The sequence below is a fragment of the Homo sapiens genome, chromosome 14 (genome assembly GCF_000001405.40).
Source record: "Homo sapiens chromosome 14, GRCh38.p14 Primary Assembly".
Lineage (NCBI taxonomy): Eukaryota > Metazoa > Chordata > Mammalia > Primates > Hominidae > Homo > Homo sapiens.
In genome coordinates, this window is record NC_000014.9 from 100,262,216 (window position 1) to 100,277,356 (window position 15,141).

A 15,141-nucleotide genomic window follows, 5' to 3' on the forward strand; every position below is an offset into this window, starting at 1 on the left:
CCCATTTAAGAAGTTACTGGTGAAAGCAGTTTTTGTAGTTTTTAAAATCTATTTACTCAGCTAAAGATAATCTCATGATGTGTTTCAGATGAAAAAAAAGATATTGACCATGAGACAGTGGTTGAAGAACAGATCATTGGAGAGAACTCACCTCCTGATTATTCAGAATATATGACAGGAAAGAAACTTCCTCCTGGAGGAATACCTGGCATTGACCTCTCAGATCCCAAACAACTGGCAGAATTTGCTAGGTAAGTTATAAGAACTTTCCTTTCTTTTAATTATAGAAAGTGCTTGAGTCTTGCCAGCTATGTTTTCCTGTGCCTAAGTCAAAATGGTGGTTTGTATTCTTTCTCTAGGGAAATTCCTGAAAACAAAAGCAGTCAGTTTTATTTGTTTGTTTTTTGTTTCCTTTTTTTGAGATGGAGCCTCGCTCTGTTGCCCAGACTGGAGTGCAGTGGTGCGATCTCGACTCACTGCAGCCTCTGCCTCCCGGGTTCAAGCAATTCTGACAGTCAGTTTTATTTTTAGTAGTAACTATGCTATTAATGTGAGTGGCAGCATTTTAGATCCTTGCAGTAAGATGAAGCAAATACCCTTAAATAGGCATTGCATTTGAGTAAATAAAATTGCACGTAATTTGTTTTGGAATAGATATCTTCCACACTGCCTTATGGCTTCTTGGTACACATTTTATTTTTTATTTTTTTGAGACAAGAGTCTTGCTTGTTGCCCAGGCTGGAGTGCAGTGGTGCAATCTCAGCTCACTGCAACCTCCACCTCCCTGGTTCAAGCGATTCTCCTGCCTCAGCCTCCCAAGTAGCTGGGATTACATGCGTGTGCCACCACGCCCAGCCAATTTTTGTGTGTTTAGTAGAGACAGGGTTTCATCCTGTTGGCCAGTCTGGTCTCGAACCAGTCCTGGCCTCAAGTGATCCGCCTGCCTTGGCCTCCCAAAGTGCTAGGATACAGGCATGAGCCACTGTGCCCAGCCTGTAGTACACATTTTAAATTTGGGTGTGTTGTATTGGTCTATGCTGCTGGAGACCTGGGTCTGTACTTGACTCATCCAGCTGACCACTGGAAAGGATTTCATAAATTCGTGTTTGTCTTGTCATCAGTTAAGCTCCTGGTATGTTAATTTAAGCTGGCATGACAGGAGGAGATCAAGTATTTATGGCTTGGACATGGCGAGCAGTGGAGAAACTCTGAACCCATTGGTTGGGTGTGTTTGTTTTGCCTAAAGTGGGCTGGGTTCTTATAGAAGCCTACTTTTTGTGTTACTTTCTAGTACTGTTTGGCAGTTTGTACAAGGAGCTGAAAATACCACAAAGATGTAAACTTTTAAGTTAAATGAACTAATAAACTCTGGAGCAGAAAGCCTAATGCCTTTCCATACCTGAGGTTGGTTGGAACCTGGAATAGCTCAGGAAATTTCGGCAAGGGCAGGATCAAGAAGAAAGAAATCCTTTTGATCTTGCACATTCTAAGAACAGAGTGGGTTGCTTTTTTTTTTTCTTTTGAGAGCAGAGTGGTAGAGGTGGAGACCGTTCAGTGTCCTGGCTTCCTTCTTGGCCCTGCCGAAAACAAGGTGGGCAGTTCCTGCCACCTGGAGCTCGTTTCCCCACCTGTCAAATGGGCGTTAAGAATTCCATTGTGGTTTGATACATGGAGGTTCTCACTGTGTTGCCCAGGCTGGAGTGCAGTAGCATGATGATAGCTCACTACAGCCTCAAGCAATCCTCCTGCCACACCTCCCGAGTAGCTGGAACTACAGGTGTGTGCCACCATGCCTGGCTAATTTTTTTATTTTATTTTATTTTATTTTTTGTAGAGATGGAGTCTCACTATGTTGCCCAGGCTGGCCTCAAACTCCTGGCCTCAAGTGATCCTCCTGCCTCGGTCTCTCAAATTGTTGGGATGACAGGTATGAGCCACTGCACATGGCCCAAGAGTTTTTGTTTGTTAGTTTTGTTTTTTGAGATGGATTTTCACTCATCTCCCAGGCTGGAGTGCAGTGGTATGACCTCGGCTCACTGCAACCCCCACCTCCTGGGTTCAAGCGATTCTCCTACCTCAGCCCCCCAAGTAGCTGGGATTACAGGTGCATGCCACCATGCCTGGCTGATTTTTGTGTTTTTAGTAGAGACGGAGTTTCACCATGTTGGCCAGCCTGGTCTCGAACTCCTGACCTAAAGTGATCCACCCACCTTGGCTTCCCAAAATGATTATAGACGTGAGCCACTGCACCCAGCTGGCCCTAGAGTTTTGATAGAGATGGAGGGTTTACTGGGAATTAGGGCGCTTCCAGGGAAATGACTGGAGTTGAGGTAAACTGGAACCAGATCATTAAGGGCGATGAATCCTAGGCCAGGCTGTGCAGACATTTCTCATATGCAGTGGGCAGCTACTGCAGACTTTGAGCTGGGGAGAAGGGGCTGTGTGAGTAGAGCGTTAACTTGGGAGAAGTCCTTTGCAGCTGTCTGTGCAGGCTAGATTCATACAGGCACAGGAAATGAGAGAGGTCAGTTGAACAAGAGTTAATGAAGGCCTGAGTTAGAATTGTGGCAGTCAGATAACAAAGGAATAAATGTGATAGAAATTACAAGAGACCAGCTGGGCTCTGTGGCTCAAGCCTGTAACCTCAACACTTTGGGAAGCTGAGGTGGGATCGCTTGAGGCCAGGAGTTTGAGACCAGCCTGGGCAAAATGATGAGACTCCATCTCTAAAAGCTCAGTTTGGTGATATGCAGCTAGCTTCTTGGGAGGCTGAGTGGGAGGATCGTTTGAACATGGGAGGTCAAAGCTGCAGTGAGCTCATGCCACTGCCCTCCAGCTTGGGTGACAGAGCAAAATTGTCTCTAAAAAAGAAGGAAACTGAACCAGGCATGGTGGCTCACGCCTGTAATCCCAGCACTTTGGGAGGCTGAGGTGGGTGGATCGCCTGAGGTCAGGAGTTCAAGACCAGCCTGGCCAACATAGTGAAACCCCATCTCTACTAAAATACAAAAACGTAGCTGGGCTTGATGGCAGGCGCCTGTAATCCCAGCTACTAGGGAGGCTGAGGCAGGAGAATTGCTTGAACCCAGGAGGGGGAGGTTGCAGTGAGCTGAGATCACGTCATCGCACTCCAGCCTGGGCAACAAGAGGGAAACTCCTTCCCCGCCTCCCCCACCAAAAAAAAAGAGAAAGAAAAAAACTACAAAAGATAATGGAAAAGATTTAGAAACAGACTGTGTGCTCAGTTGGGGGCAGGGGGGAGGAGTAAGAGCATGCTTACCGTTTTGATGCTTTTAGCCACTGCTCATTAGATGACTCCAGCCCCAACTTACTTCCTAAAAACCACCTCAAGTCCAACATGGATGTTTTATTATTAACAGCATCTCAAACCAAATACTGACTACTCTGAGCCCCAAACCAGAACACTGAAGCTTTTTTTTTTTTTTTTTTTTGAGATGGAGTCTCACTCTGTCGCCCAGGCTGGAGTGCAGTGGCACGACCTCGGCTCACTGCAGCCTCTTCCACCCGGGTTCAAGTGATCTCATGCCTCAGCCTCCCAAGTAGCTGGGATTACAGGCGCCTGCCACCGTACCCGGCTAATTTTTGTATTTTTCATAGAGACAAGGTTTCACCATCTTGGCCAGGCTGGTCTTGAACTCCTAACCTCATGATCCACCCGCCTCGGCCTCCCAAAGGGCTGGGATTACAGGTGTGAGCCACCGTGCCTGGCCTTTTGAAACTTTAAATTACAATTGTGATTCTCCCGTGTCCACATGGCTGGGGAGGCCTCAGAATCATGGCAGGAGGCAAAAGGCATTTCTTACTTGGTGGCGGCAAGAGAAAAATGAGGTAGAAGCAAAAGTGGAAACCCCTGATAAACCCATCTCAGATCTCGTGAGACTTACTATCATGAGAATAACATGGGAAAGATTGGTCCCCATGATTCAGTTACCTCCCCCCGGGTCCCACCTACAACATGTGGGAATCCTGGGAGATAGAATTCAAGTTGAGATTTGGGTGAGGACGCAGCGAAACCATGTCAGAGGGTAAGAGGTCCCAGTGGCAGAGTAAAAGCATCATTCAGACAAATAGAAGGAGACTCAGGAGGTACGAGAGAGAGGAATAAAACCTCTTTGGATTATACATTGTGAAGGAGTTGCAGTGGAGGGGCGGAGGGCTGAAGGAAAGGTTTTGAAGAGAGAGGGAATCTATGGGTGGTGAGCAGTAAAGCCATTAGGTGTTGGTGACCCTTGGCACTGCTCACCCTCCTTGGAGCATTGGAGCAGCTGATCTAAAAGTTTGTCCCCAGTCTTCTGAGCAGAAAATCCAGGGACACATGTTACTGTTGGGAAGGTAACATGGCTACCTTAGACCATACTCCTTAAGAAAGGGACCACCCACAGAGACTGGCACCCGGGTACCAGATAGCCATCCAAAACACCAGGGCTGAAGAACCCAAAAGTTTCAGTAAGATAGGCCATCAAGTGGAAAGAATGATAGACCTGAATGAGACTTTTCTTCAGTAGCAGGGGATAATTAGAGACAATAAAACAATGCTTTGAGAGGAGAAATTACTGTAAACATAGAGTTATTGATCCAGCAAAGCTATCAAGTCAGATACAAGGTCAAGAGATGACAATTTTAGAGACCCAAGGATTCATGTTGCATGCACCCTTTCTGAGGAGGTAATTTGAAGATATAATACAGCGAAATGAGGATGAACATCAGAAGGAAGATTTCCTAGTGCACGACAACCAAGAGGACAGCTGTGTAGCAGGCTGGAAAATGTATTCCATTTAGAATAGAAAGTTGGCTGGCTGTAAGAATTTCTTAAGGAAAAGTCAGTTTCATTCAGTAGTGGGTAGAGTGAGTAAGAAGCTTGGTGGTATGGAAAAGGGTCTTCTGAAAAAGAAAAAGAAAAGGCAATCGGAAACTCCATGAAAAGGGGTGAGGGAGTAGGGCAAAGAAAGCTGTAGCCTGAAAAATGGGGCCTAATTTTGACAGTATTGAAAGAGAGAGCTTCTTTGACCTGACTCTGGGAAGATTTTCTCCTTGCAGCTCCTATGTTGTATACTTGTAGAGCATTAAGTGTGATCCTAGCACACTGTTGAGCCCCACAGTAAATAATATTTGCATAATCACAATATGAATGTAAATAGCATTTCTTTTATTAGCCTGTTAAAAGATTTCATTTGTGTATAGAAAAGAATGAAATCTTGCTCGCCTTGACAGTGTAAAAAGTAAAGTTACAGAGTTTGGGCCCTGTGAGGTGGGTCAAGGGTTGGGCTCCCTCTCATCCACATTCTACATAGTAGCTTTTTTTTTTTTAAATGGAGTCTTGCTCTGTCGCCAGGCTGGAGTGCAGTGGTATGATCTCAGCTCACTGCAGCCTCTGCCTCCTGGGTTCAAGCAATTCTTCTGCCTCAGCCTTCCGAGTAGCTGGGACTACAGGTGCCCGCCACTACGCCCGGCTAATTTTTGTATTTTTAGTAGAGACAGGGTTTCACCATGTTGGCCAAGATGGTCTCGATCTCTCGACCTCGTGATCCACCCACCTCGGCCTCCCAAAGTGCTGGGATTACAGGCGTGAGCCACTGCGCCCGGCCTCTAACATAGTAGCTCTTGAAGCTCATGTTCATCTGAACAAATATCTGTAATTGGACAGTGGTGTTGGTGAGAACTGTTTGCACCTAGGTGCCCTGTTTTGTTAGATCTTCACGTTTTGAGGATGTGTGTAACAGTTGAGTGGGATTTTCTGGAGGCTCAGGAATTGATGCCCGGGACTCTGAGAGCAGAAGATACAGAGGCACCAAGAGTTTTAAACTCTTGGGGGCCAGACCACATCTTCGCTAATTACGGCCCATAGAACTTGTCCTGCTGGCCTCCAGTCTTCGCCCCCAGCACTCACAGTGGCATTAGAGCCGCAGCTGTTGGCTTAAGGTAGAATGTAAGCTGCTTTTCTGTCTCCTCTGTGCACTGGGGTGATGGGGTGCTGGACTGGACTTGAAACTGTCCAAAGAGTATTTCAGGCTCATGCTGCACTCAGCCTAGACTGCCTAGTAAATCAGTTACATACGCACATGGGCAAAATATAAGCCATAATGACTTTAATTGGAAAGTCTGACATTGGGAAGGTGGACAGTCTATGGATGACTTTTTTTCCCGAAATGTCTGTTCAGTAAACATTTTGAAAAGTGGTCAGTGAGTGGTCCAGTGAGTTCTGTTTCCTGTAAAGTGACCACCTTTGTATGTGTTTCACTAAATAAAGTTAGACCTTTGAAAACCTTTGGTCTAGAAAGATTAGAATGGTTAGGCCAATCCCAAATGGGTATTTTTGTTGCTGTTCACTACTTACCCTGAGACTTTCACAATATTAATGTATAGATGAAATGTGATAATGGAGATGAAAATACCTCACAACTCTTCAGTATCATCACATGAATATTAATATTTAAGAGATAATTCATTGAACAAACTTTATTTGTCTAAGGCAATATTATCTTTTCACAAAGAAGGGAGGTGAATCATGCTTGCAAATGACAGCCGTATTACGCAGGAACTTCTGTCCCAATAGCACAGATCAGAGGATGGTTCTGGTCTGGAAGTCAGCTAACCTTGTTTTGTATGGAAGAGGCTTATTTTCATTAAAGAGTCACTTGTCCAAAAATGTTTCATCTCCCTTTCTGGGATATTTGCAGATCTGTTGGTTAGAACTTCGGTTTACACAATGCTCTGCTGATACTGTGCCAGAAGTTTGGGTTCTGAAGTCCACAATCTTTACAACGTTCTTCCCACATATGCCAGAATGAGCTATTATAAATCGGGCAGTCATGTCATTGGGAGTGTATTCTCCCTCTCTATTTGACAGGAAACTTGAGTTGTTGGGTGTCTGACTCCTCCATATAACATGTACTGCGTTGAGGGGTGTGTTCCTCCTAGTGCCATGCTTTCTCCAGTTTCTCAGTCCTTTATCGAAGGGTGGTTAAGAATGAACTCATTTTTAGCTAGACCCATTTCACACATAGCCAATGGTAATAAGAGCTATCATTTCCCAGGTGCTTAACATACAGCTCTTAAGTAGGTAGCATTATACCTTTTTACAGAATAAGAAACCGAGGCCGAGAAGTTACAGTTTGCTCAAGGTCATGCAGCTAGTAGAAGTCACCTCCAAGTCACACATCCCATACTGCCTCATTCATAATGTCTATGCTGTTGTCATCATTGTCTCCAGGTTCAAAAGGACTCTCTGGGTTCAAAAGTGTCCGTTGGTGAATGGAAGACTTAAATCTTAGTTACTTCTGAATAGTTGAGGAGGGTGAGAAGATGTTCTCAGTGGTAGTATATGATTTTTACTGTTTACTCGCAAAATGAAACACTGTTTTAACCTAAGTATATTTTTGAAAAATGACTTTTTTCATTGTTGGCATTCAAATAAAATCTTAAAAGTACCAACGTATACTGCTGCATTTGCCACTCTGTGTGAAGGAGGATGATTTGCCAAGGAGCTTAAGAGTGGCTGCATTTAAATCTTCCACTTACTCCTTAAGTCCAAGGGTATTTGTCCAAATGCATTTTAAACTCTCATTCTAAAATTAAATATATTTCTAAATACTAGCACACATTTTGAAAATGACATTTTAAGAAAAAATAATACCACTTATAATAACAAACCAAGAGTTGGGTAAATGGTACCTGAGACTGTTCTCTTTACTTTGGGGGCGTATTTGAAAATTTCCATGATAAAATATCTTTTAAAAAATTAAGTGGCCAGGCGCGGTGGCTCATGCCTGTAATCCCAGCACTTTGCGAGGCTGAGGCAGGTGGATCACGAGGTCAGGAGATCGAGACCATCCTGGCTAGCACGGTAAAACCCCGTCTCTACTAAAAATACAAAAAAATTAGCCTGGTGTGGTGGCAGGCGCCTGTAGTCCCAGCTACTCAGGAGGCTGAGGCAGGAGAATGGCCTGAACCTGGGAGGCGGAGCTTGCAGTGAGCCAAGATTGCACCACTGCACTCCAGCCTGGGCGACAGAGCAAGACTCTGTCTCAAAAAAAAAAAAAAAAAAAAAAAAAAAATTAAGTTACTAGGAATAACTCTAGCAAAATGTATGGGAGGCCGGGTGCCGTGGCTCATGCCTGTAATCCTAGCACTTTGGGAGGCCGAGGTAGGTGGATCACCTGAGGTCAAGAGTTCCAGACCAGCCTGACCAACATGGTGAAACCCCGTCTCTACTAAAAATACAAAAAAAAAAAAAAAAAATAGCCAGGCATGGTGGCACGCGCCTGTAATCCCAGCTACTCAGGAGGCTGAGGCAGGAGAATCGCTTGAACCCAGGAGGCGGAGGTTGCAGTGAGCCAAGATCAAACCACTTCACTCCAGCCTGGGCAAAAGAGTGAAACTCCATCTCAAAAAAGAAAAGAAAAGAAAATGTATGAGAGAGGACCTTACTAAGCCATGTTTACTAAGATTTAATTTGCATATGGTAAAGTCTACCCCCCTTTTAGGTATGTATGTACTATTCTGTGAATTTGGACAAACAGTCATGTAGCCATCTTCACACTCAACACAGAATGTTTCCAAGGAGTCCTAGGCAGGTGGATTGCTTGAGCTCAGGAGTTGAGAATAGTCTGGGCAACATGGTGAAACCACATCTCTACAAAAACAAAATAAAACAATGTTTCAGTAGAATTTTCAAAGAATAAGTGTTCACTCTTAATTGGGAACATTAAAACTTAAAAAAAAAAAATAGGCTGGGCGCGGTGGCTCACGCCTGTAATCCCCGCACTTTGGGAGGCCAAGGCAGGCGGATCACGAGGTCAGGAGATCGAGACCATCCTGGCTAACACGGTAAGAAACCCCGTCTCTGCTAAAAATACAAAATATTAGCCGGGCATAGTGGCGGACACCTGTAGTCCCAACTACTCGGGAGGCTGAGGCAGGAGAATGGCATGAACCTGGGAGGCAGAGCTTGCAGTGAGCTGAGATTGCGCCACTGCACTCCAGCCTGGGCGACAGAGCGAGACTCTGCCTCAAAAAATAAATAAATTAATTAAATTAAATTAAAAATAAATAATGTTTGAGTGGAATAGAGACCTTTCATATCAATCACTGTTATTTTCCAAACTGATGTAACCTCAAGGTGGCGCAGTGGCACCAAACTTTTGTTCTACCTGATTTTGTGAACTCAGGCCAGAACTCCAGGATTTATTTGTATTTAAGATAAGAAAGGCTAGTTCAGAGTCCTGTTTACAACAGGCACTTAAAAAAACTTGCTAACTGGTATTACAGGTTGAGCATCCTTTATTCAAAATGCTTAGGAACAGTAGCACTTTGGATTTTGGGGTTTTGCATATGCATAATGAGTTATCTTAAGGCTAGGACTCGGGTTTAAATACGAAATTTGAAATTCATTTGTGTTTCATTACACCTTATACACATAGCCTGAAGGCAATTCTGTACTTTTTTTTTTTTGAAACAAGGTCTCGTTCTGTCACCGAAGTTGGATCGCAGCCTCAAATTCCTGGGCTGAAAGGATTCTACCTCCTCAGCCTCCCAAGTAGCTGGGACTGTAGGCATGTGCCACCACGCCTGGCTAACTTTTTATTTTTTTTAGAGACGGGGTGTTGCTTTCTTGCCCAGGCTGTTATACAGTATTTTAAATAATTTTGTACACGAAACAAAGTTTTCACTGTGACCCTATCACACGAGTGCATCATGTTAGCACTCAGATAGTTTCAGATTTTGGATTTTGGATGTTAGGGATGCTCAATCTATAATCCATTTACGAGAAAGGACGAATATCTACAGGGTTGGGAAGGGGGAGGACACTGAATTGAAAATGTTCTCGTGGGTGGGCGGATCACGAGGTCAGGAGATCAAGACCATCCTGGCTAACATGGTGAAACCCCATCTCTACAAAAATACAAAAAAATTAGCCGGGCATGGTGGCGGGCGCCTGTAGTCCCAGCTACTCAGGAGGCTGAGACAGGAGAATGGCATGAACCTGGGAGGCGGAGCTTGCAGTGAGCCGAGATAGCGCCACTGCACTCCAGCCTGGGTGACAGAGTGAGACTCTGTCTCAAAAAAAAAAAAAAGAAAGAAAAGGAAAAGAGAAAATGTTCTCGTAGAATTTAAAATAACAAATATGTATAGTATCGGACCAACTCCATGGAGATAAGTGATAGTTACCAGATCTGTTGTTCCTCATATACTCCTAGGGCTGGAAAGTTTAACCAATGATTTCATGTGTTCAGGTTACAGATCAGGTCATCCTTTTCCCAGATTATAAGTGAAGAAGGACATTGTTAGGGCCTTCACAAACTTAAAAGATCACAGAATTAATTTTTTTTTAAGGAGTATTTTTTTTGTAACAAAAGAGTGGTGGTAAATTAGCTCTTGCTTTTAAGGATTCACTTAGGTGGGCTTTTTTTTTTTCGACTTTGACTTTTTAAAAAATTTCAATAGCTTTTGGTGTATAAGTGGTTTTTGGTTACATGGATGAATTCTATATTGATGAATTCTGAGGTCCGAGTGCACCCCTCGCCAGAGCAGTGTACACTGTATCCGGTATGTAGTCTTTTATCCCACACCATTCTTTCCCTACTAAGTCCCCAAAGTCCATTATATCACTTGTATCCTCATAGCTTAGTTCCCACTTATAAGTGAGGACATACCGCGTTTGATTTTCCATTCCTGAGTTACTTCACTCAGAGTAGTGGCCCCCAGCTAGTTTTTTGTTGTTTTTTTTTTGTTTTTTTTTTTTTGAGACGGTATTTCCTTCTTGCCGCCTAGGCTGGAGTGCAGTGGCACGATCCCGGCTCACGGCAACCTCCGCCTCTCTGGCTGAAGCAATTCTCCTCCCTCAGCCTCCTCCTAAGTAGCTGGGATTACAGGCATCTGCCACCACACCCGGCTAATTTTTGTATTTTTAGTAGAGATGGGGTTTCACCATGTTGGCCAACATAGTGTCAAACTCCTGGCCTCAAGTGATCCATCTACCTCGGCCTCCCAAAGTGCTGGGATTACAGGTGTGAGCCACTACGCCCAGCTATGGTTTTTTAAATTATTATTTTATTTATTTTTTTAAATCCAATACAGAGTTTCGTTCTGTCACTTAGGCTGGAATGCAGTGACACAGTCATGGCTTACTGCAGCCTTGACCTTCTGGGCTCAAGTGATCTTACTGCCTTCGGCTTCCCGAGTGGTTGGGACTATCGACACACACCACCATGCCTGGCTGATTTTGGGGGATTTTTTGTTTGTTTGTTCATTTGTTTTTGATAGAGACAGGGTTTTGTCCATGTTGCCCAGGCTTAATTTTTTTATTTTTTGTAGAGACAGAGTCTCACTGTGTTTCCCAGGCTGGTCTTGAACTCCTGGGCTCAAGCAATCCTCCCAGTTTGGCCTCCCAAAGTGCTGGGATTACAGGCGTGACCCACCACACCCGGCTGATTTATTTATTTATTAAATATGAACCATCATGGAGGGGTGTGAGAGGGGTAAAACTAGGGACAAAAAGAAAATCTGTTTCCGAGATTTAAATTTATTCTCTAGTTTTTTTAGGAACGCTTAATTTCTCACCCCCCTACCACACACAGATCTATAGGGAATATTTGGAGAGAAAGTTTTGACAAAAGTCCAAAGCTTGATTCAGTGGAGAAGCAGGTAGGTAAGTTACCAAACCAGGAGGCTCTCTGGACAGTAATTTCACCTGGGGCTCTGCCAGACGGTTACCACATTACCAGGACTCTTGGTACAAATGAGAACTTCCAAGCCCCCATCCAGAAGTAGGGTAACAGTATGAGAGTATGTGGTGTTCCCATCTGTCCACCAGGCCCTAGGAGCTCTCTCCCCAAAGTAACTGGTGCTAATGGTTTGTCGTGTGTCCTTCCAGAGATATTTGATATTTAATATCTATAAATCTTGATTTAAAAGGACTCTTCTGTACCCTTTAAAATGATATATTTTAAAGATCATTCGTGTCAGTACTAATTGGACCCATTTCGTGTATAGAGATGGATATTTTAGGACACTCCTGTGTTCACCGCTTCTTTTTCATAAGGCACCTTCATCATCGCAGCAGCTGCCTTTGGAAATCTTCCCTTGCCTCTCACAAGGAGATTCATCTGATTGTCTGAGTTGATTTTTTGTGTTTTTTTAAAGGGTTTGGAGTTAAGAACAGGTATGTGAATCACACAGATCATAGTGCCATTCTAAGCTGCACCAGCTTATTAGCTATGAGACTGTAGGCGGCAACTCGATGTTTCTAGCCTGAGCATCCTTATCTGTAAGATGGGAAGAGTGCTTCACAGTCATTGGTACTTAGTGAATGCAAGTTGTCTCATCCTTTCTGCTTCATGGAAATGTATCATAATTTTAGTTTGGGTACCTATAAGGAAAGCATTTTAGGGACTATATGATTTATGCCAGTTGAGTCTACCCACTCCTACAAATCTGTCTGTCTCTCTTTTTCTTTTGATAAGAATGAAGCCAAGAAAAATTAAAGAAGATGATGCTCCAAGAACAATAGCTTGCCCTCATAAAGTAAGTAATGCTAGAGGGAGAGTGTTCATTAAACTGTTGATGAAGTTTTAGAGAGTTATAAGAAATTTGCACTTTTGTTTCTGCTTGTGATAATTTAAATGAAGCAAGGAATTAGAATCTTCGGTTTCTAAATCCAAGAGATGAAGTTTTGTTATTTAGTAAAGGCAACTTTTTAAATACTGTTAAATGGGATGACTGCAGGGAGCCGTTGCTTGATTACTGTGTGTTGACTCTACTGTTAGCGTTTCATTTCTTTTTGGATTATATTAACAAGTCCGTCTTAAGATCCTGGGTTGTGTCTCACCTATTGACCTTTATGGGAATGTAGGCTTGTAACTGAAATTTGAAAATTATTTTGGATGTTGCTAAAATAAGCCAAATAAAGACTTAATAATTGTGTGTGATTAGAGAGGCACTTAATTGTTTTCAAATGTAGTTAGTCTTTAAAATAAAAGGATAACCTGAAAAGTACTTTTGAGATATTTGTTGGGGGCTATTTTCAAACTTAATTGGATATGAGACTAACAGAAAAATCAAGTATCACATAGGTACAGAGAACAAAGTAGGAGAGATTGAGTGGAATAAAGAATGTTAAAAATGAACAATCGGAGCAGGCTACATTTAGTTTCACGGTCTCTTCCCTGTAATGACTGTGCACTAGCAAGTCCTTCCTGTTCTTTGTCAGCGTTCTTGATGTGGCGATTTGAAATGTAAACGTATCTCCATTAGGGCCGAAATAACAAGCATTTGAAAACAGTTAGGCTGGAAGTGCCTATGCCATCCCTTTAGCTTCTCTGAAGTTTTCTTTATAATGGACACATAATACTTGTACATATTTATGGGGTACCGTGTGATGTTTCAATGCATGTATACATTGTGTACCAGTTAAATTTTTTAAATTTCCATTTTCTAAATGGAAATTCAACCTAGGGGTAAAGGCGGAAAAACTGGGGCTTCCCTCTCCCTTCTGCCTGTGAGCTGTCTAGTGACTTGTGCTGTCCTTCTGTCATGCTGTCTTATCATTTCCCCATTCACTCCATTACTGGGCAACAACTGCAGAAGAAATTGTTGAGGACATGCTTCTCGAGCGCCACACATCCATCTGCCTTTCCCGCCCTGCACTGGTATCAATTTGCCTGCTTCTTCCTTTTCCTAGTGTCTCACAAAATAAATTTCTTCTGTAGTTGCCATTCCTTGGAGACCCTCTTGCTTCTTTCTCTGTCAAGAAGGGGAAAGAGGCAAAGAGAGAAGAGGGAACAGTAGGCGATGGAGAATGACAGTCCATTGTTGCAGCACAGAATATGGGGCCACCAAAGGTAGTGGTGGACTACCGTCATTTTAACTCCATTTGCTTAGCAGTGCTTCTGTTACTTCATTTTGGGGGACATAGTCGGGTGAGGTGGCTGTGGTAGAGCTGGAAGCCAGGGTGTTGGGTTCTATTCCCAGTTTGGCTACTACTAGTAGTGTGACCTTGGGCAAGTCTACTTAAAGACATCTCTAAGCCTCAGTTTCCTCATCTGTAAAACTAGGGTTTGCATTGAATGATGACTTTTTCAGCTGTCTGCTTTTTGTCTTAAATGATATTAATGTTCTACCGTAATACTAAGTAAAATTAAAATGGGGGGTTGGGGAGGTGGTTTTGTTTTAATATGTCAGTAAAGGCTGTTAAATGGTTGAATCCTTTCTAACAGTTTGCAATGTGAACTTCTAAGCTGCTTTCTCTGTTTTAAGGGCTGCACAAAGATGTTCAGGGATAACTCGGCCATGAGAAAACATCTGCACACCCACGGTCCCAGAGTCCACGTCTGTGCAGAATGTGGCAAAGCTTTTGTTGAGAGTTCAAAACTAAAACGACACCAACTGGTTCATACTGGAGAGAAGCCCTTTCAGGTAGAGCCAGTTCCCTCTCTTCCCCACACTGCCTTGCCTGTCTGAACACTGCAAGTGTAGGTGGTGTGGTGATGAGGCAGGAGGCGCCAGCCCAGAGACTCAGGGTCTTATTACTCCTTGGTGAGAAACAAAACTTCTCCTGGGGAGTCGCTTAGAAGGGTTGCCGGGGCTCTGGACATCCTTGTCTATACTCTGTGGTACTGGGTACGCAATGTATTGGTGTTGATGGAGTACACTTTATGGCAGGAGGAGAACAGGATTGAAGAGCATACCTAAAACTCAATTTCTACTTCATTCATTACAGGATTGAAGTAATTTATTTTTGGTAGTTAATAGTATAATTACTAACTGATAAAGTTTCTAGAGTGTAAGTATAGGTAATACTTTAGCCCATAAATAAGTGAAAGAACTAGCAGTGCAGCTAGTAAATCTAACGTGGTTCTTTTTTGACAACTGACACCAGAACCCTTAATCATTTGTATTTTACTGTTGGAAATGTTTACAGCAGCACTAGGACTCTAGCCTGCATTTAGGAAGACTTGCCATTTTGCCAAGTGTTTTAAACAGTTCGTGAGGGCTCTCCTTGGGTTTTCGGGGTTGTCCAACCTGCCTGCTGATTCTAGACTATATCCACAAAGTTCACCCAGGGCAGGAATGAAAAGTGTTTGGTAAAATAAATAGGCTGTTCTCTAGCAAAGCAGTGAGCTC

General features: G+C 43.3%; 1 protein-coding gene across 1 annotated transcript in view; it reads left to right on the top strand.

Moving 5' to 3' along the window:
• The window catches only part of YY1 (YY1 transcription factor), a 43,645-nt gene that overhangs the window by 23,072 nt on the left and 5,432 nt on the right, over nucleotides 1-15,141 (top strand). The window contains exons 2-4 of the mRNA NM_003403.5: nucleotides 89-251; nucleotides 12,483-12,543; nucleotides 14,275-14,433. Coding sequence (NP_003394.1) covers nucleotides 89-251; nucleotides 12,483-12,543; nucleotides 14,275-14,433 — 383 coding nt within the window. The remainder of the gene's footprint in view (nucleotides 1-88; nucleotides 252-12,482; nucleotides 12,544-14,274; nucleotides 14,434-15,141) is intronic.